Consider the following 27230-nt stretch of genomic DNA (forward strand, 5'->3'; position numbering starts at 1 on the left):
GTCGTTATCTGGTTTTGTTTTTCTTCCTCTGCATTTCTCTGTGGTGATGGTGGTGGTAGTAGTTGTGGCAGGGAGGTAAATGCCTTTACCTTATTAGCTCAATATCTGCTTTTCTTCCATGCTGCTGGGGGACAGCGTCCTGTAAGCAGAATTCCAGAGAGGCTTTGAGGGATGCGCTCTGGCTAAGAGAAGCAAGCCCAGGGAAGGAGCGTGAGACAGCACACATACTGGTCCCAGAGGTCACTCAGTTTGGCATCATGTCTCCTGTACAGGTCCCGAGGGATGGCTGAGCGCAAGGCCAGGTGGTTCTTTATGTTATCATTATTGGGAGCTTAGGCGTCCATCTGTGACTTCCTAAGACCCTTCGTGACTGATGAGAGCCATCTTTGTGGACTGATCTGTGCTCCCCTGGGCTAATTTCACTTTGCTGATCTGTCCATCTTTGCGGATCAAGTGTCCATTGGCTAGCTGCTAAATCATGCTGCATAACTTCTCTCTGCCTTACTTTACCCCTTTTCCCTGTCGAGAGGCACCCTCTAATCCTAGACTTCTGGAATTGGCCCTTAGATCTGTATTTACCTCATTCAGACCCTTCCTGATCCTATAGCCTTTGGTTCTCGGTGTTTTATCTCCAGGTCCTCCATGCCTAGCACCAGACCTGGTACACAGAGGCCTTTAATGAATGTTTGATGCATGAACGACGTACACACTCATGATACTACATCTGGGTTTTCACCCTTCCATTTTAAAAGGTCCTAATCTGGATTCTGCTTCTAAGGTGGCCCAGATCTCTGTAGGTGTTTTCTTCTTTATCTTGTCTGGCTCACTGATAAATTTTCTTCAGTGTGGTAACCTCAGTGCAAACCTGCCCCCTTTTCTACAAGGACAATGCTTTGTGCTATAAGGTATTTTATAAAAACCCCATCTCAACACATATACATCCTTGTAGTCCCTTGACTCGGCTCTAAGGCCCCCTCCACAAGAGCCACCCCTGCCCTGTCTCCCACCCAGAGAAGGTTCTTCTACCTCTGAGCTCCCCCTCAGATTTTATCCACGTCTCTTACTGCCTGTAGGTTCTTCTGTCTACTGGATTTTTATTTATTTATTATTATTATTTTATAGAAGGAGTCTCACTCTGTCACGCAGGCTGGATGGAGTGCAGTGGTGCAATCTCGGCTCACTGCAACCTCCGCCTCCTGGGTTCAAGTGATTCTCCTGCCTCAGCCTCCTGAGTAGCTGGGATTACATGTGTGCACCACCATGCCCAGCTAATTTTTGCATTTTTAGTAGAGATGGGGTTTCTCCATGTTAACCAGGCCGGTCTAAAACTCCTGACCTCAGGTGATCCGCCCGCCTTGGCCTCCCAAAGTGCTGGGATTACAGGTGTGAGCCACTGCGCCCGGCCTGTCTACTGGAATTTTGAGTGGGCATTCCTCCATCTCCCTAACTAGATGGATAAGCTTCTTGAGTCAGGAATCTTTTTGTATTCACATCTCTCAATAGAGTACGGGATCTTGCACATAGTTGGCCCTTGGTAAATGAAAGGTCATTATTTTCTTTTTCTGCTGTCCTATGGTTGACTCTTTAGGCCACAGCAACATCCTGGACTTGAATCTGCAGAGAAGTATTCCCTGGTGCTTGTCTGTGGTTGCATGTTGTTTTCTTTATAGCACATGCCACTGTATCAGAGGTGCTTAGGGAGCTGCTTATGCTCTGTCTTCCCCAACTAGAGTAGACATTCCAGTGTGTGGTGTTTCTTCCTGTGCCCTCAGCACCCACAACAGTGCCTGACACATTGGAGGTACTTGGTAGATCTTTCTGGATGAATTCCAGAGCATGCCACTCTTTAGGAGGGTCTGAGTAATGCCTCTCAATACAGATGATGGATTTTGCTCTGGAAAGTTGTTACAAGCTTGTAAGATCTTCCTGTGGCTCATCACTCTGGATTTGCTTTCCACTACCCAAAGGAGTTGAGTGTCATGGCAAGACTAGAGAGATTATTGTTTCTTCACTGAGATCATGGAGGGAATACTCAGTACAGCTAGTCTCATCACTAGCCCCTGTCCGAGTTACCATTACCCCAGGCCTAGCAGAGGAATGCTCATGTTACCAAGCCATCTCCAGCCCAGGACTAATTGCTTCCTGAGGCTCATTGCAGCTCCAGTTAAAAAATAGGCCAGCATGTCAAAGGCTTTTTGAGTCTTAATGTAATTCACTTACGTTTCTCTCCTCTTTAAAACCTTGAATAGATTAGTCAGGCGTGCTATTCCCTCACAGAGATTTCATCATCTGTTCCTTGTTAGGTTATGTTGGTTTACGTGTTCAGCAACCCATCCAAGACAACAAATTGCACAGGGCGTATGGGACAGTGCTATGCTGCTCCTGTCTCGGGGTCTCTGGGCTCCTGCAGTTTTGCCTGCAGATGGCCGGGCATCAGGCAGAGAGAAGCATTTGTCACAGAAGGGGGCCTTCTCACTTATTGCCCTCTCATCCCTGTGCTTCTCAAAAACATGCTTCACTGCTAGTGGGTAAGAAACAGGCATCTTCTGATTTAGGAGTCTTGTTCAGAATACTTGTTAAAAACAAAAACATTCAAGAAAGCCATGTATACAACATTAGAGTAAGAGTGAAAAAATATGATAATTTGTTCAGTCACCTAACCTTTTATTGTGTTTTTTAACTGGAACTGCAATGAGCCTCGGGAAGCAATTTGTCCTGGGCTGGAGAGGGCAAAAATCAAGTTCAGGTACAGTGATCAAAGATCGAGCTGCAGTGAGACTATTCACAACAGTCCAGCACCAGGTGGCAGTAAGTCAGACACATTATAGTCAGTCAGTGTTTGTGGAGTGAAGGAATGAATGAGTTATCTGTAGACTCTGAAGGTTATTTCAAAGGAGAAAGTCTCATACTGTCTTGTGCAAGGGCATCATCATTTGAATAACTTGCAACCTTTGAAGTGGTCTGTTTTGGAAAGCACTCCCCTGAATATATATGTTGTAGTTGTAGTATGTGTTTAAAAAAAAAACCCAAACTACTTTTTAATTATACCATGTTTATGTTATAGATTGTTTTATAAAATGTATAACATAGCTATAGATACGTAGATGTTTGGACACACACACACACAGAGAAAGGTTGAAATTAGTGGGTTTTCATGGGTTTTAGTGAATCTTAATTTTACTTCTGTAGACTGTCCTTTTACAGGTTTTTACTTTTGTTTTGTTTTGTTTTGTTTTGTTTTGTTTGAAAAGCAGGGCTCTGGTACTCTAGTTTTGCTGTGTGAGTATAACACTTGGGACGGTCACTTACTACCAGCTTCCCGGGATGCAGAGGTGTGTGGCGTTGCCATTGTTGGCCGCACGTAGTTGCATTTAGTAGTGTGTTGTGCCCTTAAAAAGTTGAAATTAGATATTCTACTGAATGTCTTCTTGGCCATCGCTGTAGACAATTTGGCTGATGCTGAAAGTCTGAACACTGCTCAGAAAGAAGAAGCGGAAGAAAAGGAGAGGAAAAAGATTGCCAGGTAACCCTATTTTCCCCTGACGTGTTTGTCCAGGGGCTGTGTTGGGAGCCCTGCAACAGTTGCAGCCTGCCAGGCTTACCCCCGCATCACGGCAGCTGCAGCCCCCGGGTTGCTGCTTTGTGGATCATGGTTGACCATGCACTGCAGACCAAAACGGATGGAATCTTGGGCAGAAGCCAGGCTCTTGGCTGTCATCCCTCGGGGCTGAGAGTGGGAGTCACGTGTCCCCATGCTTAAAGAATCACTGCAGTTAATTTTGGTGTCATAAAATAAATGATGCATTCAATGCTGATTAGCTCTCAGATGAGAATTTTAATAAGATGGTCTGTGTAATGAATCCATCGCATTGAGATTACCAGGAAGCTCTGAGTTTGGGTTGTGCTAGGCTCTTGTGGTTAGTGTTGTTTCTAATTAAATTCTGTCCTTCATTGGAGCATTATTGATTCAGAATCCTGATTAGCATTTTTATACAGAGTAACATGGTTATTTGGTTTCTTGTGCTCTTTTCTCTTCTCTTTAGAAAAGAGAGCCTAGAAAATAAAAAGAACAACAAACCAGAAGTCAACCAGATAGCCAACAGTGACAACAAGGTATGTATTCTAAGATGCTTCTCCCCTTTTTGTTTCAAAATGATCCTGTTGATCTCCATACATGTACCATTTACACTGTGGAAGTGTCTTGTGTATCATTCTTGTAATATTTTGGTGTGAAGAATATGGCACACCATATAGACCCTGGCTTCCCAGGGGGGATTCTGGTTGAATTTAGGCAGTTAGTTGTGTTTACTGATATTTCACCAGAAAACCAATATGATAAAGAATTGACTAGTTTGACCACTTATGTTTTCTTTATTGGAATTGTGCAATCAGCCCTGACCCGTGGTCAGGATCACGTTAGCATCTTCTGAGTGGGTATGAAAATCGCGGATTTTTAATAGATGTCTGTTTCCAGAGGTAATCCCAGGATCAGGTGGCCTCAGGGCTATACTGTAAAACTGAATCCCATTTATGACAGCCCTGGTTGTTTTGTTCTTTCTCTGTTCATCGAGTTGATAAATGCTTACTGAGTGGCTATCATGTATCAGACACTGAGGATTCAGGAATGAAGAAGACAGGTCCCTGCCTTCATGGGGCTCACAGTCTGGCAGGAAGACAGGAGTATGAGATGCATTATCACATGGTATGAGTGAATGTGCTGGCACAGGGCAAGGACAGAGCCCTGAATGGTGCTGGCTAACCACGACTGGGTCAGGGTTCAGCCTTCTTCTCACCTGCCCTCAGGCCTTCTGTCTGAAGCAGAATCACCATCTGGGGACATCTGCCTGTCCCTGCACACTCAAATACAGATGCAGCTTTGGGGAGGAATCCATGCCCTATGCTGGACCACCAGGGTGACTTTTCCTCTCTGAAGTGATTTTAAGTCAGTCTCCCCTCCTCCCAAGATGTCTTTGTCATCCTAGGTTACAATTGATGACTATAGAGAAGAGGATGAAGACAAGGACCCCTATCCGCCTTGCGATGTGCCAGGTATGGTGGCGGAGGCCGGAGACGCTGGCTTTGCTGTGTGTCTTTGCTACTGCTCTGTGACCACCTGCCGAGTCTGCGGCCAGCCAGCCCAGCAGCGTGCACATGAGCTGCTGAGGCCACCAAGGCCGTGGGACCAGTTAGCTCGCCTTTTTCCCATGGTCACAGGCAGAATGTGTCACTCAAATTCCAGGTGATGGGGAGGGAAAGTGCAGGTGGGTCAGGGCAGTCCCAGCTTCTGCTGGGAGACTGGTCCAGGAGGCCCCCCGGTGTTAGCGCTCACCTGACACTTTTATATTTGACTGGCACATTTATTGGCTGATGTGGGTGGGACTGTGGAGTTGGGAGCCTAGGAGCTGATTGAGACTGAAAGTCCCACACAGTTTCTCAGGCTAGTCTGAGCGAGGAGGTTACTGGGGAAACAGCCAGGTGTTGGGAGGTTGGCAGTGAGAATCTCAGCACTGCCACCTTTCATCTGTGGTCAGATCTTACGCTGGTGGGAATCTCATCATTCCCGCAAACTAAACATGCTCACCAGACGGGGACACTTCTCAGCACCCCCCACCCCTGCAACACACACTCAGTCCATGTTCTGAAGGAGCAGGAGGGTTTTGATTCATGTAAGCAGGTAGATGTTGTTAAAGTTTAAGCCAAATTTGCATGTGAAATTAAGAATAATTCAAACCCATATGTAGTCTTTATTTCATGCCTATAAAAAAAGTATTTCATTTAAAGTAGGGGAAGAGGAAGAGGAAGAGGAGGAGGATGAACCTGAGGTTCCTGCCGGACCCCGTCCTCGAAGGATCTCGGAGTTGAACATGAAGGAAAAAATTGCCCCCATCCCTGAAGGGAGCGCTTTCTTCATTCTTAGCAAGACCAACCCGTAAATACTCCCCTTCTAGTCTCTCACGGCTGCCTCTTGCCAGTGACCCTACAGGTTGCTTGAGGGTGGCTCGGGTGGGGGTGAGGGGAAGTGGTTCACAGCCCTTTCTGAACCTGAGTGTCCCTGGCGCCCTCACCCAAGTCCCCTCCAACCCCTCTCTCCTCCACTGTTGCTCTTGCCCTCAGCTCATCTCTTCCTAGCTGCCTCCTTCCCACAGGGGTGTGGCCAGGTCCTGGGAGGAGCTCCATTCTAGGTTCTCCTCCCTGCCTTCACCCCTGCATGGGGACAGCAATGGGGAAAGCCTTGTCCACCCCAGCATATTCCAGCTGGAGCTCACTGCTCTGGTGTTCCATGCTTCGGCCAGCCGTGGAAATTTTTCCTAATGAGTGGATCTTCTGTTAGGATGCCTTGTGGGATGAGAATTTTTGTGACCAAGGTCCGCATAGCATCCTCATCCTCATAGATCCCCCACTTGATTGATCAGTTTTCCCAATTGAGTTTTATCTTTGTAAAGTCATATTGCACAGTGATATTTTATGGGTTGTAAGTATTCAGTTCAGCTCTATGATAGTCTACTTAAAATAGCATTTCTCATGTTAAAATGATAAGGTGCTCACAAGGAACAGGGTAATGACTCACAAGTACTATAAGAGGAAGACGTTTATTTACTAGCTAGTTTCTAGGTTTTAAATCATCTGGGACTGAGTGGAATGCCAGGGGAAATAAATGGCTCCTGGAAAGGTTTCTAGAATTGCAGAAGTAGTTCTTGGCTGTCAGAGAACAACTCTTTATAATTCATTGGCCCTAGGGAGACACAGGTGGGAAGCAAGGCCTGCTGGCATCCTCAGAGATATGAAGATGTGATGGTAGCTTTTACAGCTCACCACTGTTTGGGTGTTCTTTAAAAAAAAAAGGTTATTAAACTGATATTGCTGACACCTACAGCCCTTTGTGTGTGTGTGTGTGTTTGTGTGTGTGTGTGTGTGTGTGTATGTATGTATGTATGTATATGTATATATATATACATATACATATACATATATATATGTGTGTGTATATATATATATATATATATATATATATATATGTTGAGGGAATGCATTTATTTTCACCTAAAGCTACAAAGCACTCCTGCCCTCACTAGCTTGGAAGTTCTTTCCCAGACTCAACTGCTAACCACCTTCAGGTCCTCAGGGGGGTACGCCCAGCATTAAATAGGCCCAAAAGGGAGGACTTGAAGTGAGGGGTCGCCTTACATAAAGTTGACTCCAGTTTGAAAGTGGAAAAAATCTTTTCCAAGGAAAAGCTATCTATCTATAATAGTCTTATAGAATACAGGAATACAGATAGGTATATATACATATACACACGTATATACTTTAGAATTTAAACATATACATACATATTTTAGATATACATATATACACACATATACTTTACAATTTAAATATATGTGTATACATATATTTATGTGTATGTTTTATATATATGTTTTATGTGTATACATATATGTACATATACATACATAAATACATACATGTGTATATGTATATGTTTAAATTCTAAAGTCAAACATTGAGGGTATGGATAACCAGTTGCTAACCAGGCGCAGGGCACATTGAGGACAGCAGCGAGGTTCTGATGGCCCAGAGAGCCATCGTTTGAGCCCAGGTGTCAGGCATGAGCCACCCTCCATTGCTTCACGAGACCACAGGACTTGGTGAGAACTCTCATGCCGGGCCATGAGATCCTTGCATGTTAGCAAATGATGCTCCAACCTTCACTTTCTGAGGACTGCTTGTGGGTCAACTCCAAAATTTAAAAAAATAATAATAACATCTATTACAAAATCTGCAGACAGCCAGAGATGTCCTGAAGTCTCAGTTACTGCAGGTCACTATAAATAGTATGACCTTGCACCTGCAAGACAAGCCTGGGATTCATCTCATTCTGTGTGAACTGTTGAGGGCAGGCCTGGCCTCAGTTTCCTCTCTCAGTCAGGGAAGATAAACAGATGAGTTTCTTGTCATAGTGGAAAAACTTCAGTGATGTAGACCTGGATCGATTCTGCCCCTGGTCCTTACTAGTGTCACTTTAGAATTCTCTTATTAAGCCTCAGTTTCCCCATCTTGAGGAAGACAACAAGCCCCACTTCCAAGGACTTGGCAGAGTGGTCTGTGTGGCACCCCCAGCACAGAGGTGACACACCACCCACAGTCCACAGGTTGCCTTTGGTGGGCTTCGAGAGGCTGACGGACAGGTTGCTCAGGTGTGCCGGGCAGGGTGCATGGGCAGCACAGCAGACAGCTGCCCTCTGCCTGGCCTCTTGCTGCAGTGGCCCCACACTCTTAAGGACCCAGTGTGTTCCACCCTATCTGGGACTGTTTCCAAGCAGCGGCTTTTCCCTGCAGGATCCGCGTAGGCTGCCACAAGCTCATCAACCACCACATCTTCACCAACCTCATCCTTGTCTTCATCATGCTGAGCAGCGCTGCCCTGGCCGCAGAGGACCCCATCCGCAGCCACTCCTTCCGGAACACGGTAAGTCCCCAGGGTGGGGCTCGCTCTGGGATAGCCCTGGCCTCTCTCGGGCAGAGGCCACTGTAGAGATGGGAGCTGTGGAGGCCCTCAAGGTGACAGCTAGAGTAGGTCTTTCCTTCAGCTGGGGACGTTGGCTGTTTCCGGTTTGTAAGTGCCAGAGAGCTTGTGTTTTAGCTGGGTAAATCTGAATGGAATCATTAACTTAGAACTTCATCTTAAATACTCTGCAGGAACGGTCAGTGAATTCAGGGAGCCTGCTTCTCCGCCTCTTTGCTCCCTGCTGCTGATATTTAGGTCCTCCTTTCCCTCCCTGCTCAGGTTTACACTCACCCCTGTTTTGAGATTCATGCCTCGTGGAAGCACACAGCAGGGAGGAAGCAGAATTCAAACCAGGCACACCACATGCCCAGGCTGTCTTGTTCAGGGTTGGAGGCAAGATGCCTATGTCGTGTAGACTTAAATACACCAAGCTGCTAGGCTCCACGACTCAGGAGAAATACAAGTTAGGGAGATGATAGGATGTCAAGTTGAGGTGTTCAGTGGAGAAGAACATTAGGCCAGGTGCACTGGCTCACACCTGTAATTCCAGTGCTTTGGGGGATAGAGGGGGAGGATCACTGAAGGACAGGAGTTCAAGACTAGCCTGGGCAACATAATGAGACCTAATCTGTACAAAAAATAAAAAAAATTAGCTGAGCGTGGTGTCACATACCTGCAGTCCCAGCTACTCAGGAGACTGAGGGAGGAGGATCGCTTGGGCCCAGGAGGTCAAAGCTGCAGCAAGCAATGTTTGCACCACTGCACTCCAGCCTCAGTGATACAGTGAGACCTTGTCTCAAAGAAAAAAAAAAGAATATATAATGAATGTTAAAAAATTTCTTCTCTGGGAAGATTTATTATAAAATATGTGATTATGTTATATATTTCACAAGTATCTCCAAAGAAAGTGCTGACCTTGGCCCCAGATAGCCAATATTAAGTTTGAGTAACTTCATGAAGCAGAGTGCACCAGGCAGAGCCACTTGGACCCTTAAGCATGTTAACTTAGCGGTTTACAATATTACTTTTCATTGGTAGAATTAGGAATATACAAAGAGTTATTAATTGGCTGGGCGTGGTGGCTTATACGTATAATCCCAGCATTTTGGGAGGCCAAGACAGTAGAATCGCTTGAGCCCAGGAGTTCAAGACTAGTCTAGGCAACATAGTGAGACCCCATCTATATAAAAATTTAAAAATTAGCCACACGTATTGGCACATGCCTGTCCCAGCTACTTGGGAGGCTGAGGTGGGAGGATTGCCTGAGCACAGGAGGCTGAGCCTGAAGTCAGCTGTGTTCACACCACTGTATTCCAGCCTGGGTGACAGAGCAAGACCCTGTCTCTAAAAAAAAAAAAAAAACAAAAAGAACTCTAGATTTTGGTGTGGCAGAGGTGGCTATCCAGTTAGCCCTCTGTATCCATGGGTTTGGCATCCATGGATTCAACCAACCACAGATAGAAAATGTTTGGGGGTGGCCAGGCGTGGTGGCTCACCTGTAATCCCAGCACTTTGGGAGGCCGAAGTGGGTGGATCGCTTGAGGTCAGGAGTTTGAGACCAGCCTGGCCAACATGGTGGAACCCCGTCTCTACTAAAAATACCAAAAATTAGCCAGGTGTGGTGGTGCACGCCTGTAGTCCCGACTACTCGGGAGGCTGAGGTATGAGCAGTGAGCTGAGATCGCACCACTGCACTCCAGCCTGGGCAACAGAGTAAGTGAGACTCTGTCTCAAAAAGAAAAAATATTTTGGGGGAAAAAATGTACTGAATTTGTGCAGATTTTTTTCTTGTCATTTCCTAAATAATTTACATGGCATTTACTTGACCTTGGGTATCTTGGGAAATCTAGAGATGATCTAAAGTCTACAGGAGGATGTGCATAGATTATATGCAAACACTACACCATTTTATATCAGAGACTTGAGATTTTGGGGTCTGAGAGAGTCCTGCAACCAATCCCTTATGGATACTGACTGTACTAAGAAAACAAGTCAAGGGACCGGGAGCAGTGGCTCATGCCTGTAATCCCAGTACTTTGGGAGGCCAAGACAGGCAGATCACTTGAGGTCAGGAGTTCAAGACCTGCCTGGCCAACATGGCGAAACCCCATCTCTACTAAAAATACAAAAATTAGCTGGGTGTGGTGGTCTGCACCTGTAATCCCAGCTATGCAGGAGGCTGAGGCAGGAGAATCGCTTGAACCCAGGAGGCGGAGGTTGCAGTGAACTGAGATCATGCCATTGCATTCCAGCCTCTGCGACAAGAGCAAAACTCTGTCTCAAAAAAACATACAAACAAAAATACAAGCAAGTCAAGGGTTTTCTATTAGTTAGTTTTGTAACTTAGAGATGGTGCCCGCTGACTGTGTCTGTGTTGTAAGGAAACTTGCACCTAAATTGGCTCTTGCCTCAGCAGCCCCACCTTAGCTGTGCAGCTTACTCGGCACTGAGGACCATTCAAAGGCAAGACGGCTAGAAGCAGCAGCCTGTTGACTCTCAGGCCTAGATATTATCGTGCAGTTTCAGGTTATTACCAAGAAACCCGACCAGCAGAGGGAGGCTGGCGAGTGTGCAAGCATCAGGTGTCCCTGGCTTGCTGGTGGGCACCTTTTTCTGAGCACCAGGTTGTTAGAGATTTTAGGGTTAAGACACACCTGCAGATCTGTGCCTCCAGGACTCTGTTGGGACAACCAAGCCTCATGCTGTTGCTTCCCATTTCTGGAGCCTGGCAAGCCCTACCTATCAGATTTATGAAACACGCACTCCGATATGAAGAGAAAAAGTGCTTTCCCCATGGTGCGTGTTAGTGTCAATATAAAGAGGAAGGCACTGGGCCTGTCTTGATTTGTCCTCACAGATTAGGGTTTTTGTTAGAGAGGGTTTAGTTGCTCTAGATGCCCCAATAGAAGAAAGACCTCTGTGTCATTTCATTCCATCATAAAAAAAGGACACAAGGGCAGTGTTTGGAAAAAAACAGCATTAGGTGACAAACTAGGCCAGGAGCTAGTCTAGGATTCGCATTGACAAGGGATTAATTTACATGGGGGTTTCATGTCTTATTTTTAATTATAACTGCTTCTCCATAAGTTTATTTCCCTGCTGCCTTACCCAAAAATGTTACCGTTCTGCTTAAATAGATGTACATATGTGTATGAGTATTGCTTTTTAGATTCTGCAGTGTTTTGTATGTTTTTTAACCTTAGCCGAATTCTTAGTTTAAAAAAGAGAGCGAGAGAATGCAAGCAGAGTGAGGGAAAAAAACAGCTTAAATTTCAACTTCAGCCCTGGCGCCAGGTTGCCTTGTAGACTTGTGGGCTGCAGTGTCTTTCTGGGCTACTAGATGCTTTCCATGTTAATATTCCCACTGTGACCTAGGAAGGAGTAAGGAAAAGTTGGCTGAGGCCTGGCAGTGCACGGGAAGACACCTTCCATAGCCTGGCCAAGAAACTCCATTACACAGAAGTGGTCCCACAGAATTCATAAGTCCAAAACCAGAAACAGTTTGGAAAGTGAATACCCTCTGAAGAGAGAGACTGGGCTTGAAACAGAGGTCCTCGCATTATTGTGACACAGCCCCCAGGCGACTCCTCTACCTACAACAGCTCACCCCTGTGACTCTTCGCTGGCATACGCCAGGCCTACTCCTTGCTCTGCAGTGCCTGTGACTAGCTGCGTGGCCTATGCGTGTGTCCACTCCCTGCTCCCAGCAGCCACATCTGTTAAAGGATTAGGCCTGGGTGGTCTCCACAGTCCCTTCTAGCTCTGGTCTCTTCAGTTCTTTCAAAACCATAGATCATAGTTGTCATGAAGATCAGTGGCCAAGACCAACTCGCCTTTGCAGATAAGGGTGCTACGGTCAGAAGCTCCTGGTGAGCAGCTTTCCTGGTGGTCAGACTTCTTGCTGCTGGCCCACTTGCCTCCATGGCTCCGAGGAGAAGCAGGGACCCCAGAAAGGGCTAGCAGGACTCTGCTGATGGGATAATAGATGGTATTGTCACCAATGAGGATAGAGTTGCCTGGACTGAAAATTCAAAGACCAAGTCAGTCTGTTATTTGAGTGGGCCCAGCAAGGTTTTTTAAAAAAAACCCTGAGTTTAGAGAGAGCAGTGTGAGATGCAGAACAACGGGCAGGAGTGCTGGAGACCACCAATGCAGGAGTCTGTAAAACCATCCCTTGCAGACTTAGCCAGCCCAGCGCATGAGCAGGGAAGGGTGCTGACGCCCTGATTACACAGGCTGGAATGCGAGGGGGCATATGGAAGCTACTGGCTCCGACAGATGCCGCTGCCATCTTCATTTATGCTTCTCCACCAATCTGATGCTCAGATGGAGGGCAACATACTTCATTCAGCCAGAAACGCGGTTAAAAATCGAAAATGTGTATAAGCCTCTAATTTATTTGGTGCCACAAGTCGTTTGTAGATGTAGCACTCTCTGATGAGAAAAGCTTGTTAACAAAGCACTCTTAGAAATGAGCCTCTCTGCCTGTCCAAGACACAAGACTGGGAAGCAAGTCGGTGAGTGGTTAAAGGAGGTCAGGATTCTCAAACGCTCTTTGGGAATGATGTAATTGACCAAAGTGGGCATTCACCCGTGGCTCTGCACTTACCTTCAGAATGGCAGGGTTTTCCTGGAGGGATGGGTCTCTGACTGGATCGGGGGTTTCTGCCTGTAAGCATGCAGATGTCAGAGTTTGTCTGAATTCCTTTTCTCACTCCCACATGTTGTGCCTTGCAGATACTGGGTTACTTTGACTATGCCTTCACAGCCATCTTTACTGTTGAGATCCTGTTGAAGGTAATGAATTTTCCTTGATCTTCACATACTCCACAGCAGCTGGAGCAATAATAGTTGCACTTCTTTGTTTGCCTTCCAGATGCTAGGTTACGCAGACTATGTCTTCACTGGTACTTTTGCATTTGAGATCATTTTAAAGGTAACAGGTTACCCGGCAGTGTGTTTAAGGGCTGCTCCTGCGTGTGACACACAGGAAAGAAGCGTGGAGTGCTTTTGATTTTTTATGGGTTTTTTTTTTGTCTTTCGTGGTTGAGCTAAGTTTTTTTTTTTTGTTTTTTAAACCGAAGGATTTTTTTTTCCTGTGACCATTCCAACTTGTTTTTGCTCTTTTTAACCTTTGAATGCATGTAGGAGCCACTCTGGCTTCATGATAGTGGTTGAGAATTACATTTTGCTCATTTAAAAAAAATACCCTCTGTAATTTGTCAACTGATAACACATATATCTCTATGTGTGAACTTTTTTCCACCCTTTCTGACATCAAAGTCAGAGGAAAAGCATTTATCCTATGAAGAGGATGTCTCTCTTTTTGTTTCTCTGACTGCATTATGCTTTTGGGGACCTAAAATAGTAACACACTATTTTCTTGCAATAGGATTTGCAAGATGACTTGGGTCTATTTGTGTTAAGGTATTTTCTGTCTGTTTTAATGGATGGGCTTACATTTACACAAAAGGAGCGCCCTTTGGCCGGGGTGACCTAAATGTACTGCCCATGCATGAGCTAATGGCTGCCATTGCTGCTTGTGGTTTGTGGACTGACTGTGAAGTCTGCCCCATGGGGAGCCCATTCCTTATGTGCTTAGAGTGCTGGAGACCACAGCAGAGCTCCAAGAACCTATCCAAAACTGGCCAAGAACCACAGGGCGTGGGTCATTGTGGTTCTGGGAGAACGTGGCCCATCAGAACTGTCAGGGCAACCATCTCCTAGCAGGAAGACAAGCTGGGAAATGAAGACTTTTAACCATGGTTTTCTTTAAGCCATTGGGGAATTTTTGTGTGTGCAATTCAGGCAAAATGTATTTTGCATCGGACTACTGTGGAACTTGGGCTCTTTACAAAATCTTATATAAAATGAAACCTCAATTAATATGGTCAGGGAATGAGGTGGTTAGTTTTTTGAGGTTGGTTTTTTTATTTTTTTATTTTTTGGTTCATGAAACAGCATAAAGCCAACCAACAACTGTTTACCCCTTTCTTAAAAGTCTTCTAAAAATGTGAGTTCATTTTCCTGCCTTTAAGCCGATGAATTTGGTTGACACTTCTCCTAAGTCAGAGGTGTGCAGTGGGATGGTGACCAGCTCTTGTTGATGAGGCCTCTGTGGGAGGGCCTGTGGATGCAGAATGCACAGTGGTGGGGGTCGGAGGGATGCCGCCAGAACACTCACCGGCTCAGCTTCTGCCTCAGCTTCTTGGTTTTAGAATTTGACTTCTTTTCAAAGTGAATGGGGAGCTGTTCTACTTAGTCTGTTAGCCTGGTTAATTGAGGTTTTATTTTACTCTCCACATTTTTTAGTTGTTAAATGAATATAGTTACCCTTGGGCTTTGGGGAAAATTAGACACAGGATTATTTAAAAGGAAAAAAATGATTGTTACTTTTTAATTTCGGTAGAATTGCTTCACCGACTTAAATCTTCTGAGTCATTCTTCATTTTGAAGGTATTTTAGAGAATGGAAAATAAGCTAAAACAAGAAGGATTCAGAAAATGGAGACTCACCAAGAAGTGTCTAATATCTGAGACGATGGTTCCTGGTGGCCTTGGGGACATTTGGAAGGCTCTTTGGTTATTTGCTTAAGCCCTATGAAATTGCCATTTTTGTAGGTCAAAAAGGGTTGAACACTGGCGATTTCATAAGGTTCAATGTAATATTTCCCACCTCTACCTCTCTTATACTGTACTTACCTGAGCCTTCTCCAACCTTTTTTGTTTTAAAATAAATAGTGAGCTGTATATATTTTGCTATTTTTACTTTGGGGAACTAAACTCTTTTTCCATCACCAATAGAAATCTCACTGAAGCACCCATAATAGGTGCTCCAGGTACATGTGGCAGGTGAGCACAGAGCCGTTGAGACTGGCTCAGGTGAGATGCCACCTGGCTTCCTAGCCATGCCTGGCACGTGTCATCAGACTTGGAGGAATTGCTTAAGATGGATGCGTCATTAAAGACCATTAGGAACAATAAGGGGCCTCTGTGGAAAAGTGATGTAGGTCCATAGAGCCTGGGAGCCCTGAATTCAAGCCCCCACTGGAAAGGCTTAATTGAAACAAGGTAGGCTCTACCAGGGCCTCAGAGGGGCCAGAACCAGCACTTTGTGGGGAAGTGGGCTCTCCGGACAGCACTTACCTTTTGACGAATGTAGTCCTGTGGAGCCTCTCTTAGACAGGCTCTTTGGACATGCCAACAGTGTATTCATACTTGAAACCTGTGATCACTGTAATAAAGCCTAAATTGGTTTCTTCTTTTAAAATGTATCCAAAATAAGCTGCCCCTTTTTGATTTTTGTTTGAAGAAATTATCCTGTGGCTCAACCCCGTTGGTTTACATTTCTGACTTCTTAATGCACACTTGTTAATGAAGTTATACTTTCCTCAAGATTTTGCAAAGAGCCCAGGTTTCTTTTCCTTTGGAGACAAAAAATGGTAAATCATCCATGATTCTGCTTCTAGATGACAACTTTTGGAGCTTTCCTCCACAAAGGGGCCTTCTGCAGGAACTACTTCAATTTGCTGGATATGCTGGTGGTTGGGGTGTCTCTGGTGTCATTTGGGATTCAGTAAGTATTCTGGGGTGTGTGCCCAGAATTGTTGGGCTGAATGGTTTATGTAAGGGATTTTAACATAATTGATAAAGGCTGGGCATCATTTTCATGATTATATTTAGTTATATAGGTTTATTTAATTTGCTCCCATTCCAGAAAGATTTAAACAATTCATGTTTTCTTGTGTGTGTGTGTTTTTTTCTTTTTGTGCCTGCTGCTAAGTTGAGCTTATTACTGTCTGTGAAATTTGCTTTCAACTGAGGTGAAAGAAGTGTTGACTAGGAGGGAGGGAATCTAGGTTCTAGTCCTGGTTCCTCCAAAGGCTGATTCCAGGGCCTTGAGGGCATCCTCTCTCAGGAACCCTGTGCCCCTTTTATATAGGAGGGGCTGGGACCAGGTGGCCTTTCAGTTTTTCCAGCTTAGATATTGAGAACTTCCTTTGATTTTCAGGATATAGAACCTGCTAGGACTTTTTCTTTGGCCTCAAAATTTTTCAGCTAGGAGGGAGCCAAGGCTGAAAGTCAGGGCCCCAGGTCTTTTCCATGGCATTTAGCGATTTCTGGTGGGAACAGCCATTGCTGAGTACTGCTTACCATCCCCAGGGGTGTGGGGCAGAGGCTCCAGTAGAGCATCAGGTGTGGCCTTGCTTTCTTGCTGGCCTGTGAGCACTTCTGTTCAGGTGCTGAGCATAGAATCTCCCCTGTATGAGCACACATGCACACACCTGCCCTCTAAGCTAAAGAGAAGTGGAAAGGACCTGCCCTCCTAGGAAGACCAAAAACCTCTGCTTGGAACAGCCCTTTGTGTTATCCTTCTCGCCTGCCACTGAGGGAACCCTGTGATCATAGCTTGGAAGGCCATTTGCATTAACATCTTTGCAGCTCCTATTAACTCCCAGGCTGTTCATGTCCAAGCTGCAGCCTTGCCCACTTCCTCCTGAGCATGTGTTCTGGCCACACTCAGCCACCTAGGGTAAAGCAGAAAGCTGCATTCTCTTGTGTCGCATCTTTGTACATGCTGCTCCCTCACACTGGAGCCCCCCTCCCTATTGTCCTCGCTAACCCCTACTCCTCCTTTGGGACTCACCTGGCTATCACCACCCCCACCCCAGAGTCCTTCCCAGGCTCCCCCTGCCCCACCCCCACAGGTTGTGCTCCCCTGGCTGAGCACACCACATTTACCCCTGTCATGTGCCACACTGGGTTGGGATTGCCCATCTCTCCACCAGACTGTGAGCTCCTTGAAGGCCAGAGAAGCCCTGGTACCAAAGTGCTACAGCAGACCTCCAACCTTAAACAAAAACAAATGATATATGAAGCCTAAAAGCCAGCTACTACCTAGTATTTACAGTGAGTGGAAAGAACAAAGAGAGTTCGTGAGTTGTGTCTCTGCCAAGGTTAGCTGTGCACCTGTCAGCCTCTGTGAGTGCCATGGGCTGGGCTTGGGAGGTGCTGCCTCGTGTGGGCGGGGAGGAGAAGTCGCCTCTGAGTCGTGAAGAGAGATCAGCTCAGCACCACATGGATCCCACGCTAACTGTGCAGGGATACTAAAGTGAAGATCCAGTGAAAGGGTGAATCTCAAAGCATCCTGTCCATTTATAACACGCTCTGCCTGCCGTCTTTCTGCTCCTTCCCTAGATCCAGTGCCATCTCCGTTGTGAAGATTCTGAGGGTCTTAAGGGTCCTGCGTCCCCTCAGGGCCATCAACAGAGCAAAAGGACTTAAGGTTTTGATTCCTCTCCTCCCGGCTGGGCTGGCTTGGGTTGGGGTTGGCTGTAATTACTGGCTCTTCTGGGCAGAGCTGAGCTGAGGCCTGATGGATTTTTAAAGTGAGTTATAAGGACCTTTCTAACCAATTCAGCCACCTGTGCCAAGTGCTAATGGCATTTTAAAAATTATTATTTATTGTCTTTATTTTTGGTAATTGAAGATATTTTTCTTTGTAATTATTGTTCATTTATTACCTTTTTATTAGTAGTTCTTTGTGTTTATTTTAGTCTTTTATTTAGTTTATTTAGTCTTTCAGTTTTCATGTAGACTGTATAAAAGGCTACTGGGTTTCTGTTTTCCTGAGTCATTTATGGGGTGGGGACCCTTTGGGCCCATGTGCCAGGCAGCACTGCACCTGTAGCATTTCTTCTTTTTTTTTTTTTCTTTGAAACGGAGTCTTGCTCTGTTGCCCAGGCTAGAGTGCAGTGGTGTGATCTCGGCTCACTACAACCTCTGCCTCCTGGGGTCAAGCAATTCCCCTGCCTCAGCCTCCTCAGTAGCTGGGATTACAGGTGCACACCACCACGCCCAGCTAATTTTTGTATTTTTAGTACAGATGGGGTTTCACCATGTTGGCCAGGCTGGTCTCAAACTCCTGACCTCAAGTGATCTGCCCACTTCTGCCTCCCAAAGTGCTGGGATTAGAGGTGTGAGCCACTGTGCCTGGCCAACACAGAAACTGTCGGCTGATGTTAGCTCACCTCAAGGCCAAAATCACAAAGAAGAGTCACGCCCCTCTGCCCTCTCCGCAGCACGTGGTCCAGTGCGTCTTCGTGGCCATCCGGACCATCGGCAACATCATGATCGTCACCACCCTCCTGCAGTTCATGTTTGCCTGTATCGGGGTCCAGTTGTTCAAGGTAGAGGAACTGCCTCCAAGCATAAAACTCAGGTGGATTTCTTTAAGGAGAAGCCTGCATTTACTTAACTGCCTGTCTATTTTATACCCAGGGGAAGTTCTATCGCTGTACGGATGAAGCCAAAAGTAACCCTGAAGAATGCAGGTGAGCGTCCTGAGAGTGGAGTAGGGGACTTAGAAGAGCAAATAGCAGACTTCAAGGATTCACACATGTTGGCACGTCAGAAGTTTTGGTCGTGAAATAAAATAGGCCTGTGTGCTCAGCTTGTGGGTAGATAGATGGTGTTTGTTTTTCATTGAGGTGAAATTCACGTAACATCAACCATTTTCAGTATACAGTTCCTTAGCATATAGTATCCATGGCATTGTTGTGCAACCAACATCTCTATCTAGTTGCAAACTTTTTGTCATCCCAAAAGAATGGCTAGATGGCTTTTGTGGTGGAGAATCTATAAATGATGGGAGTTGGGGGAACCCTGAAATAACAATTATGAAATGCCCCAAATAGCTTCCATGACAGCCATGTGGATGATTTCCCCAAATCAGAATTTGGAACTCAACTCCCTGGTGTTTGGGAACTGGCTCCCTCTTCTTATACACTTTCTAGACTTCCTCTCTCCTGGCTCCTATTACCTACATCTTGGCCATATTTCCATAGACAAGAACTGGCAGAGGAGAGACAAGGTGGGAGATATTCATGCCTCCCATTCCAGGATGTCCAGTGACCATGAAGGCAGTCATGGAAGCCATTGCCTAAAGTTTCAGACTGTGCAGAGGCCTGTGTCTCCCCACCCGCGAGAGACATAACTGACTGGGCTCTGGCTGACTGTGCCTGTACATTGGTTTGGGGTTTATTTTAAGCAGAAGGTGCAGTCAGAGAGCACCAATTGCAATTTGGCTGTGTCTCTGCACCTCCAGAGGCACCGTTCACACACCGTTCATGGCGTCCCTGGAGGTGAGCAGCCTGGCATTGGCGTGAGGACACTGTTTCTTCCCTCTTGAAGCCTCTGTGTCTTCATTTGTAAAATAAAGATATTGCGCTTTATCTCTTGGGTTCCTTCCAGAAATGAAGTTCTGGGAGAAATAATTTGCCAGAAATAATGCAATTCTTTCGGAAAGAAAATTGGGAATGTCATTAGTAAGAAGAGAAAGGGATTTGATTAAAACTAAAATGCAGGAAGAGTATACGTGGGTTCGTTTCCTAGAGCCTACAGAGTTCTCTATGGCTGAGCTTTGATCCTTCAGAGCGCGCCTCAAGCCCATTGTGTAAGAGATGCTCTCACCATGCTGTGGTTTTTATCGGCCAACGACGTATGCCCGGTGTCTGGGTGGCTGCTCTGGAGAATACACGTTGCACTGGTAGTTATTCAATGGTTATTTGAGCCGCGAAGTAGATTAAATGGAGGGCGAGGAGAGGAGAAACGGCGCCGGTGTTATGCTCAGCTGTGTGACAGGCGGGCGGACTGAGTGTGACCTGCCTGGAGGTTGGATTGGGGCAGTGTGTCCAACTTTACGCTGCTTCCACCTGTCATGTGTGAAGCCAGACGACCCACACCTGTTTTCCTCTCCAGGGGACTTTTCATCCTCTACAAGGATGGGGATGTTGACAGTCCTGTGGTCCGTGAACGGATCTGGCAAAACAGTGATTTCAACTTCGACAACGTCCTCTCTGCTATGATGGCGCTCTTCACAGTCTCCACGTTTGAGGGCTGGCCTGCGTAAGTACAGGGAGCACACAGTCTTCTGGAGAGGCACCTGCGTGCCCAGGGCTGAGCCCTCCCTCCTGGAGTCAGTCCCATTTCTGTTCTCCAGTGTCGCAGGATTGCCCTGTGGCTTTTTAACCTTGGGCCACTTCTCAGTCACTTCTTGACCCACAGGGCCTCTTTCTGTGTAGGTGGATGATTTGTGAAGCAGGGTTGGTAGAGGTGCCTGGCAGCATCTCTGGGTGGAAGCAGGGAGGCCTGAGATGCCTCAGTCCCATGAACTCCCATTGGATGTCAGGAAAGCTGCCATCCGCTGCTCCCAAAGAGGGTCTGAATGGTGTCCCAAACCATTCATTCATTCATTCATTCATTCATTCATTCATTCTAATATATTCCCAGTTGCGGACAGTTGCTGTTATGCCATCTCTTTTACTGAGCACCTGCTCGCTCATTTACAGACCATGCTGTGCAGAGGCTTGTGTCTCCCCACCCGTTAAAAATGTCTAACTGGGCTCTGGCTGACTGCGTGCTTAGATACCAGCTCTGTGCAACATGGCATGTTAGGCACTGTGGAGGAAACAGTGTCTAAACATGCTTCCTCTCCTCAAGCCCAAATCAAATCAGTGTCAAGTGGTCAAACCAGGCAGGTGGTCTGGTGTGTCCTAGATGTGCAGAACAGGGTCCTGAAGAATGGCTAAGATGTTGATGGGTAAAGTAAGAAGAGCAGGTAAGGAGAAGTTAGAATTTGAAAGGGAGAATCCTCTGTGCTTTCGTGTTGCTCTTTGCTTCTGGAGCTCCCACCCCCAGCTCCTGCCATCAGTGTGCAAACACACCTAGAGTCCTGGATACCCGGTCCCCATGCATAGATGAGCTGCAGGAGGTGGGCAGGCTGGGGCTCGCAGGCCAGCAGAGTTCTTGGGGTGTGTGTAAGAGTCAGATATTTTCAGGAGCTCCTGTAGGATAAAGAGACAGTCAGGTGGGGCTTGTTCATTAGGGATTTAATCCTGGGAGAACAGAGGCATGGAGTAAGGCCCTTCACTGTGTGCAGGCACAGGCTATAGTGTCAGGCTTTGAACACTGTACTTGAGCAAATCATGGTGGCAGCTGAGGAGAAAGGAGCAAACCTGGGACTCGGGGCTTGGAGGAACTGGCTCAACTCCTGGCTCTGCCCCCAAGGAGTGTGACTGTGGCACTTTGATACCTCCCTGAATATTCCTATGATGGGGATGATAGTAATGTCTGCCTTCCCAGATGGATGTGAGGATTAAGGGAGAGGCTGTGAAAGTGTCTCGGGAAGCCTATGCATGGGCTGGGTGCCCCAGAAGTGTTGAATCTGCATCAGAATGGGGATCAATGGACCCCAAGGGTGTTACAGTAATCCCCCTCTTCCTGTTAAGAGTTCCGCTAGGCATAGCTTTAATTTTAGTGCATATCTCTGTTTGGGGAAGCACCCTTAGTTCTTTGGAACTACTCTGGTTGGTCACTTACTGTCTTGCCAGTGTGCATAGTTTTCACTTCCTCCAGTGTCTTACACGTGATATTCTTCCTCTCTGAATAGAAAGGAGTGTTTTAGGATATTTGTGAAATCTTTTGATTTTCAGTTCCTCAGAACAGTCCCTCGATGATGATATCCTGGGTGCCCCCTCCTCTTAGTGCTGGCTGTTTGGGCCTGAGGCTGATGGGAGAGACCTGGTTGTGTCCAGCAGCCTTGGGGTGGGTTCCCAGCGAGTGCTCATGAGAGGAGTTCTGGAGAGGGAGGACCTGGGAAGGCAGCGGGCTGGGCCGTGTGGGCTGGGGGGCTTGGCAGGTCCTCACTTGGTTTTTCTCTCTCTAGGTTGCTGTATAAAGCCATCGACTCGAATGGAGAGAACATCGGCCCAATCTACAACCACCGCGTGGAGATCTCCATCTTCTTCATCATCTACATCATCATTGTAGCTTTCTTCATGATGAACATCTTTGTGGGCTTTGTCATCGTTACATTTCAGGAACAAGGAGAAAAAGAGTATAAGAACTGTGAGCTGGACAAAAATCAGGTTAAAGTCACACACTGTTTTGGCTTCTGTCCCTTGGTCAGGAGCGGAGTGCCTTCTTTATTGACTGATTTCCCCCATACCCAGAGAAGGGCACCCACATACTGTCTGTCCCTGGGGCTAGGGCCCTGTTCTAAGCACACCCTCAGCCCATTTGAGTCATCACTGCTGAGCGTTAGGTTTCCCGATACATATGAGACTTTGTAATTATGAAATCCATCGCCAGACCTGGTGGTATGAAATCAGAGAGTGCTTACGCCACCTGCCATGGTCATGACCCACTAGTGATGTATCAGAATCTTAGTTGGGGTGCTGTGGCCACTCACACAGACATTCACAGTCCCTACTGGGAGATGGTCTTTAAAGCCACTTAGGGCAGTTTCTTACCCTTGGTGCTATTAGCATTTCAGTCTGGGATGATTCTTGGTTGTGTTTCCTGGGCTTTTTAGGCTGTTTAGCAGCATCCGTGGCTTCCAGCTGTTAGATGCCAATGGTTCGTCTTCCCCTGGTAGCAGTAACCAAAATGTCTCCAGACATTGCCAAGTGTCCTTTGGGGGGCAAAGCTGCCCCTTGTTGAGAACTGCTGACCGAGGGGGGAATACCCTGCATCACCCCAGGGAAGTCAGTAACTTTGAATTTGGGACTAAGATTGTATTGGCATCATTCTTGATCTGACACCGTGTTTTAGCCAGTCTGGTAGAAGTAGGAGCCTTTTGCTCGGGTGACGTGGTGAGGAGAGGGAGCCCTGTGCTCTGGGCTATCTTCCTACACCTGCACTGTGACCCTAGGTGCCCTCTGATCCCTGCTGGGGCTTGATCCCTCATCTCTAAATCGAGGGCATTAAGGAGCTGCTCTTTAGAGATTCCTTGCAGCCCTGAAAGAGTCTACAAGATCGAGATTCTTTTCTGGGAGTTTCCCCGGGTCCTCTATCAGTAGCATCTCTGTTTTGATGACGACGTCGCAAGCAAGAATGATCTGGTAGCCTAGGCTTCCTCAGAGGAAGTGGCCCAGGCACGGCAAGCCAACCATAGCTGGCTGTACCCACTGGGAAATGTGAGAACATGCCGGTTTGTGTTTGCAGGAAGATTTTCCTTTGAGTTGTCAGGGTGTCCCTGTAGACTCCACCAGTGATTGTCAGGGAGAGGTCTGGCCCAGCAATTTGCTCACCCAAGGAAGAGGAGTGTCAGAGCAAGGCCAGGCCAGCCACGCAGAGCCAGCGCTGAAAGTGTGTCAGCCTCTGAGGTCCAGCACAGGCTTGAATTGGGGGTCCCTGGAGTGAGCATGTGAGGTCAGAGCAGCGCCGGGTCCCAGACACTGGGAACCTGTCCGAAGCCTGCACCCAGAGTCAAAGCAGGAGAGCGGGGGTAGGTCTAGGCTCTCAATGCTGAGCTGAGGGCTCTTGGGGCTAGAGGTTCCCTCTGGGCCTGCTGCAGAGGGTGGACCAGCCCCACTACCCAGAGTAAGTGAGAAAGTGCTCCAGCTGGGTCCCAACCTGTGTTCAATCCAATTGTCACTACAGTGCTCCAGCTGGGCCCTAAACTGCGTCCAATCAATCCAGCTGTCGCTACAGTGCTCCAGCTGGGCCCCAACCTGTGTTCAATCCAGCTGTCACTACTGACCACATCCTAGGGATTCTGAAATGAACACAACAAGCTCCCCAGCCCAGAAGCTCCCCGATGGACATGTGGATAGCTCCCCATAAGATGTGTATTGTTAACACACTCTGGCTCCTGAAGGGTATCTCATGTGGTTCCAACTGGGAGCATCCAGGAGGCTACTAGTCTTGGGGAATGAGCCAGCCCCTCTCGTTCTTGTGAGTTTCTGTGGTTACTTGGCCTCCTTTCCTGGAGGACAGCACAGGCAGGGGAACTATAGGTGTGATCCACCTATAGATCCCCCGTATGTGTGATAAAGAGGAAAGGCAGTGATAAGGCCTGGACCCAGTCCTCACTCCTGCTTGTGTATACACTGCAGGGCCTCAGGAAAGACAGCTAAAAGCTCTGAGCCTCAGTTTTTAGTAAGCAAAATGGAAGCCACATGGGTAGGCACCCAGCTTACCCGGAGCTTGCTGGGAGGGTCAGCGAAGGTAATGGAGGCAGGGCCCTCGGTGACTCAAGAGTGGTGCCAGCAGCAGGAAGGGGGTCACTCGTAATCATTTTCACCATCGTCCACGGCCCCTTCCCGGGAGCTGTAGGGTGAGCTCTTTCAGAGCAGATGACCACGGGGTCCTCCTTCCCTGCAAGTGCTCAGAACCCCGTTTCTGCCCTTTTCTGCTGTTGCAGCGTCAGTGTGTTGAATACGCCTTGAAAGCACGTCCCTTGCGGAGATACATCCCCAAAAACCCCTACCAGTACAAGTTCTGGTACGTGGTGAACTCTTCGCCTTTCGAATACATGATGTTTGTCCTCATCATGCTCAACACACTCTGCTTGGCCATGCAGGTAAAAATGGAGACAGCCGTGGGGATCAGGTCCGGGCATTCCGCACAGCCCCGTGCCCCAAATGCTGAGGGTGGAATGCTGCCCCTCACAGGAGGGGTTTGATTTTTCTGATGAGTCTGGGCTATAGGTTGGCCAGAGTTCTGTTCTGGCTGACAGTTGTCACGGTAGGAGTTTAAGATAGTTCTTTTGTTGAAGAAATTATCCGTACAGCATGATGGTAGGTAACATTTCCATGGAGCCTGGCATTGGTGCTCAATTCTGTAAACATTTACCATGGGCCTCCTGTGGCCAGCTAGTGGTTGAGAACTACAGCTCTGGAGATACACAGCTGTTTCAATCCTGATTTTACTCTGAATTTTTTGTGACTTGGGGAAAGTTGTTTAAATTCCCCGAGGCTTGATTTCTTTATCAGTAAAATGGGGAAATCTGTCACACCTACGTTAGAGATAAGGTTTATGCTGTAGATAATTCCCCTCAGACACTTTGTTTTTTATTTTTTGCCTTTTGTTTTTGAGGCAGTCTCACTCTGTAGCCCAGGCTGGAGTGCAGTAGCGCGATCTCGGCTCACTGCAACCTCCGCCTCCTGGGTTCAAGTGATTCTCATGCCTCAGCATTCTGAGTAGCTACGATTACAGGCATATGCCACCATGCCCAGCTAATTTTGTATTTTTAGTAGAGACAGGGTTTCACCACGTTGGCCAGGCTGGTCCCGAACTCGTGACCTCAGGTGATCCGTTGCCTCAGCCTCCCAAAGTGCTGGTATTACAGGCGTGAGCCACCGCGCCCGGCACCTTTGGACACTTTGATCTGGGCCTGTCACAGAGTAACACTCAATGTTGGAAAACAAAACATAAGTCACACTCCTGTCCTCAGGTGGCTCTCAGCATGGCAGTAGGGAATTTTCCAGTTGATGAAGTGTTGAGTTTGACCTGAGTTACAGCTACTTCTTATTCCAGTGGGGGCAAGAAATGCAATTGAGTTTAATTGGCCAAGTCAGATTATAGTATGGTATTAACAGCGAATGTTTTCAAAAGTTACATTGCCTAGTAGATACTCTACGAGGACAGGAAGCAAAGACCAAGGTCTAGAGCCAGCTTTTGCACTGACTTTAAGAACTCCAGCACATCAAACCAGCTCTCAGTGCTGTCTGGACAGTAGGTCTAAAGATAGGGATAAATTTTCTGGCATTTTTCTTAACCTAAGAGTTCTTTTTGAATGAAAAGGACTGTGTGCTGACGTAGAAGAAAGTGTAAAATCAAGAAAACACTGCCTTTTATTCAACATAAACTTACATGGCATAAAATTTATCCCTAACCAAATTCTACCTCTATTCATAGACATTTTGGTGGTATCTGCATTGTGCTCTGGTCAAGGCCCTCAACATAAAGCCCTGCCAGAAGAAAGGGTGAATTCCCTTTATCCTGAGCAGAGGAAATGGATATGTTTTCCCCCTTCATCATTCAATCATCCTCATCTTGTCACAGACCCTCCTGCACTTTGTGGGAGTTCACCACATGACCTTGCAATGCCGGTGGAATTGCCCAGCGAGGGTGCTGGGCTGTGGAGGATGCCCACAGGGGCACAGAGGGCTGGGAGCCTCCATGTGCAAGCATGTGAGATCGTGGCTGAGGCTCTGAGAACGGTCCCTCTGTCTTCATCCATAGCACTACGAGCAGTCCAAGATGTTCAATGATGCCATGGACATTCTGAACATGGTCTTCACCGGGGTGTTCACCGTCGAGATGGTTTTGAAAGTCATCGCATTTAAGCCTAAGGTGAGTTGCAGAACCCACTTTTCAAAGGTTGTTGCTGAGTCACCCTAGAGAAGTACCCGCTTCCTGTTAGTCTTGTGTTACTGAATTATGCTAAAGTGTTCTGGCCGCTAACTGGGTTACCACCTGAGAACATTAAAATCTGATTAGAGCATGTGTGTATATATGGGAAAATGAATCTGCAAGAACAAAACCTCATGAAAACAATTCTGAGAAACAGAAGCAGGGAGATTAGAATTGGGAATTTGTAAACTGCAGATTATTTTGAAAGCCAGTTTTCTGTTTCTAGAATAGTACATATCATGCTGTGTCAGGGAAACCTGCCTCATTACTTGAGCACTAGAGAAAATGTTTGAACATAACCCATCAGAAAGAATTTGACCCTGATTATACTTTCAGATATCTAGTCTAAAGACTTTGTTTTGTTTGTTCTTGGTCTGCAGCATCCTTTTTACCCTTTAAGGGAAGTGCTGATACCAGCTGCAGACCTCTCACAGCCATACCATCTTTTGTTTGCTTAATTTAGAAAAATTTCACTTGACTTTAACACAAAATGAGACATGAAATGTGTTCAACTGTGCTCG

The 27230-nt window shown here is 46.8% G+C and overlaps 1 protein-coding gene across 22 annotated transcripts in view, besides 8 other annotated features; it reads left to right on the forward strand.

The window, feature by feature from the left end:
- Positions 1-27230, forward strand: part of CACNA1D (calcium voltage-gated channel subunit alpha1 D) — a 319123-nt gene that overhangs the window by 232423 nt on the left and 59470 nt on the right. For 21 of the 22 annotated variants that reach the window (NM_001128840.3, NM_001128839.3, NM_000720.4 and 18 more), the window contains 14 exons: positions 3409-3523; positions 4044-4113; positions 4983-5049; positions 5782-5929; positions 8341-8470; positions 13247-13306; positions 15978-16084; positions 17707-17794; positions 18591-18698; positions 18790-18842; positions 20269-20415; positions 22235-22436; positions 24716-24874; positions 26539-26649. In NM_001128840.3, the coding sequence (NP_001122312.1) occupies positions 3409-3523; positions 4044-4113; positions 4983-5049; positions 5782-5929; positions 8341-8470; positions 13247-13306; positions 15978-16084; positions 17707-17794; positions 18591-18698; positions 18790-18842; positions 20269-20415; positions 22235-22436; positions 24716-24874; positions 26539-26649 (1565 nt within the window). The remainder of the gene's footprint in view (positions 1-3408; positions 3524-4043; positions 4114-4982; positions 5050-5781; positions 5930-8340; positions 8471-13246; positions 13307-15977; positions 16085-17706; positions 17795-18590; positions 18699-18789; positions 18843-20268; positions 20416-22234; positions 22437-24715; positions 24875-26538; positions 26650-27230) is intronic. The other variant, XM_017007138.2, reaches the window with a different exon arrangement.
- Positions 4622-5162: an enhancer, noted in NCBI's record as "H3K4me1 hESC enhancer chr3:53765682-53766222 (GRCh37/hg19 assembly coordinates)". NCBI's record gives its function as "activates a minimal SCP1, AML or CMV promoter by ChIP-STARR-seq in naive H9 embryonic stem cells {active_cell/tissue: H9 hESC(naive)}" and the evidence as "EXISTENCE:reporter gene assay evidence [ECO:0000049][PMID:30033119]".
- Positions 5163-5701: an enhancer, noted in NCBI's record as "H3K4me1 hESC enhancer chr3:53766223-53766761 (GRCh37/hg19 assembly coordinates)". NCBI's record gives its function as "activates a minimal SCP1, AML or CMV promoter by ChIP-STARR-seq in naive H9 embryonic stem cells {active_cell/tissue: H9 hESC(naive)}" and the evidence as "EXISTENCE:reporter gene assay evidence [ECO:0000049][PMID:30033119]".
- Positions 22240-22439: an enhancer, noted in NCBI's record as "active region_19969". NCBI's record gives its function as "activates an Ori minimal core promoter by ATAC-STARR-seq in GM12878 lymphoblastoid cells {active_cell/tissue: GM12878}" and the evidence as "EXISTENCE:reporter gene assay evidence [ECO:0000049][PMID:35858748]".
- Positions 26379-26648: an enhancer, noted in NCBI's record as "active region_19970". NCBI's record gives its function as "activates an Ori minimal core promoter by ATAC-STARR-seq in GM12878 lymphoblastoid cells {active_cell/tissue: GM12878}" and the evidence as "EXISTENCE:reporter gene assay evidence [ECO:0000049][PMID:35858748]".
- Positions 26379-26988: a biological region, named in NCBI's record as "H3K4me1 hESC enhancer GRCh37_chr3:53787515-53788014".
- Positions 26455-26954: an enhancer, noted in NCBI's record as "H3K4me1 hESC enhancer chr3:53787515-53788014 (GRCh37/hg19 assembly coordinates)". NCBI's record gives its function as "activates a minimal SCP1, AML or CMV promoter by ChIP-STARR-seq in primed H9 embryonic stem cells {active_cell/tissue: H9 hESC(primed)}" and the evidence as "EXISTENCE:reporter gene assay evidence [ECO:0000049][PMID:30033119]".
- Positions 26699-26988: an enhancer, noted in NCBI's record as "active region_19971". NCBI's record gives its function as "activates an Ori minimal core promoter by ATAC-STARR-seq in GM12878 lymphoblastoid cells {active_cell/tissue: GM12878}" and the evidence as "EXISTENCE:reporter gene assay evidence [ECO:0000049][PMID:35858748]".
- Positions 27079-27178: an enhancer, noted in NCBI's record as "active region_19972". NCBI's record gives its function as "activates an Ori minimal core promoter by ATAC-STARR-seq in GM12878 lymphoblastoid cells {active_cell/tissue: GM12878}" and the evidence as "EXISTENCE:reporter gene assay evidence [ECO:0000049][PMID:35858748]".

This window comes from Homo sapiens, chromosome 3 (genome assembly GCF_000001405.40).
Source record: "Homo sapiens chromosome 3, GRCh38.p14 Primary Assembly".
Lineage (NCBI taxonomy): Eukaryota > Metazoa > Chordata > Mammalia > Primates > Hominidae > Homo > Homo sapiens.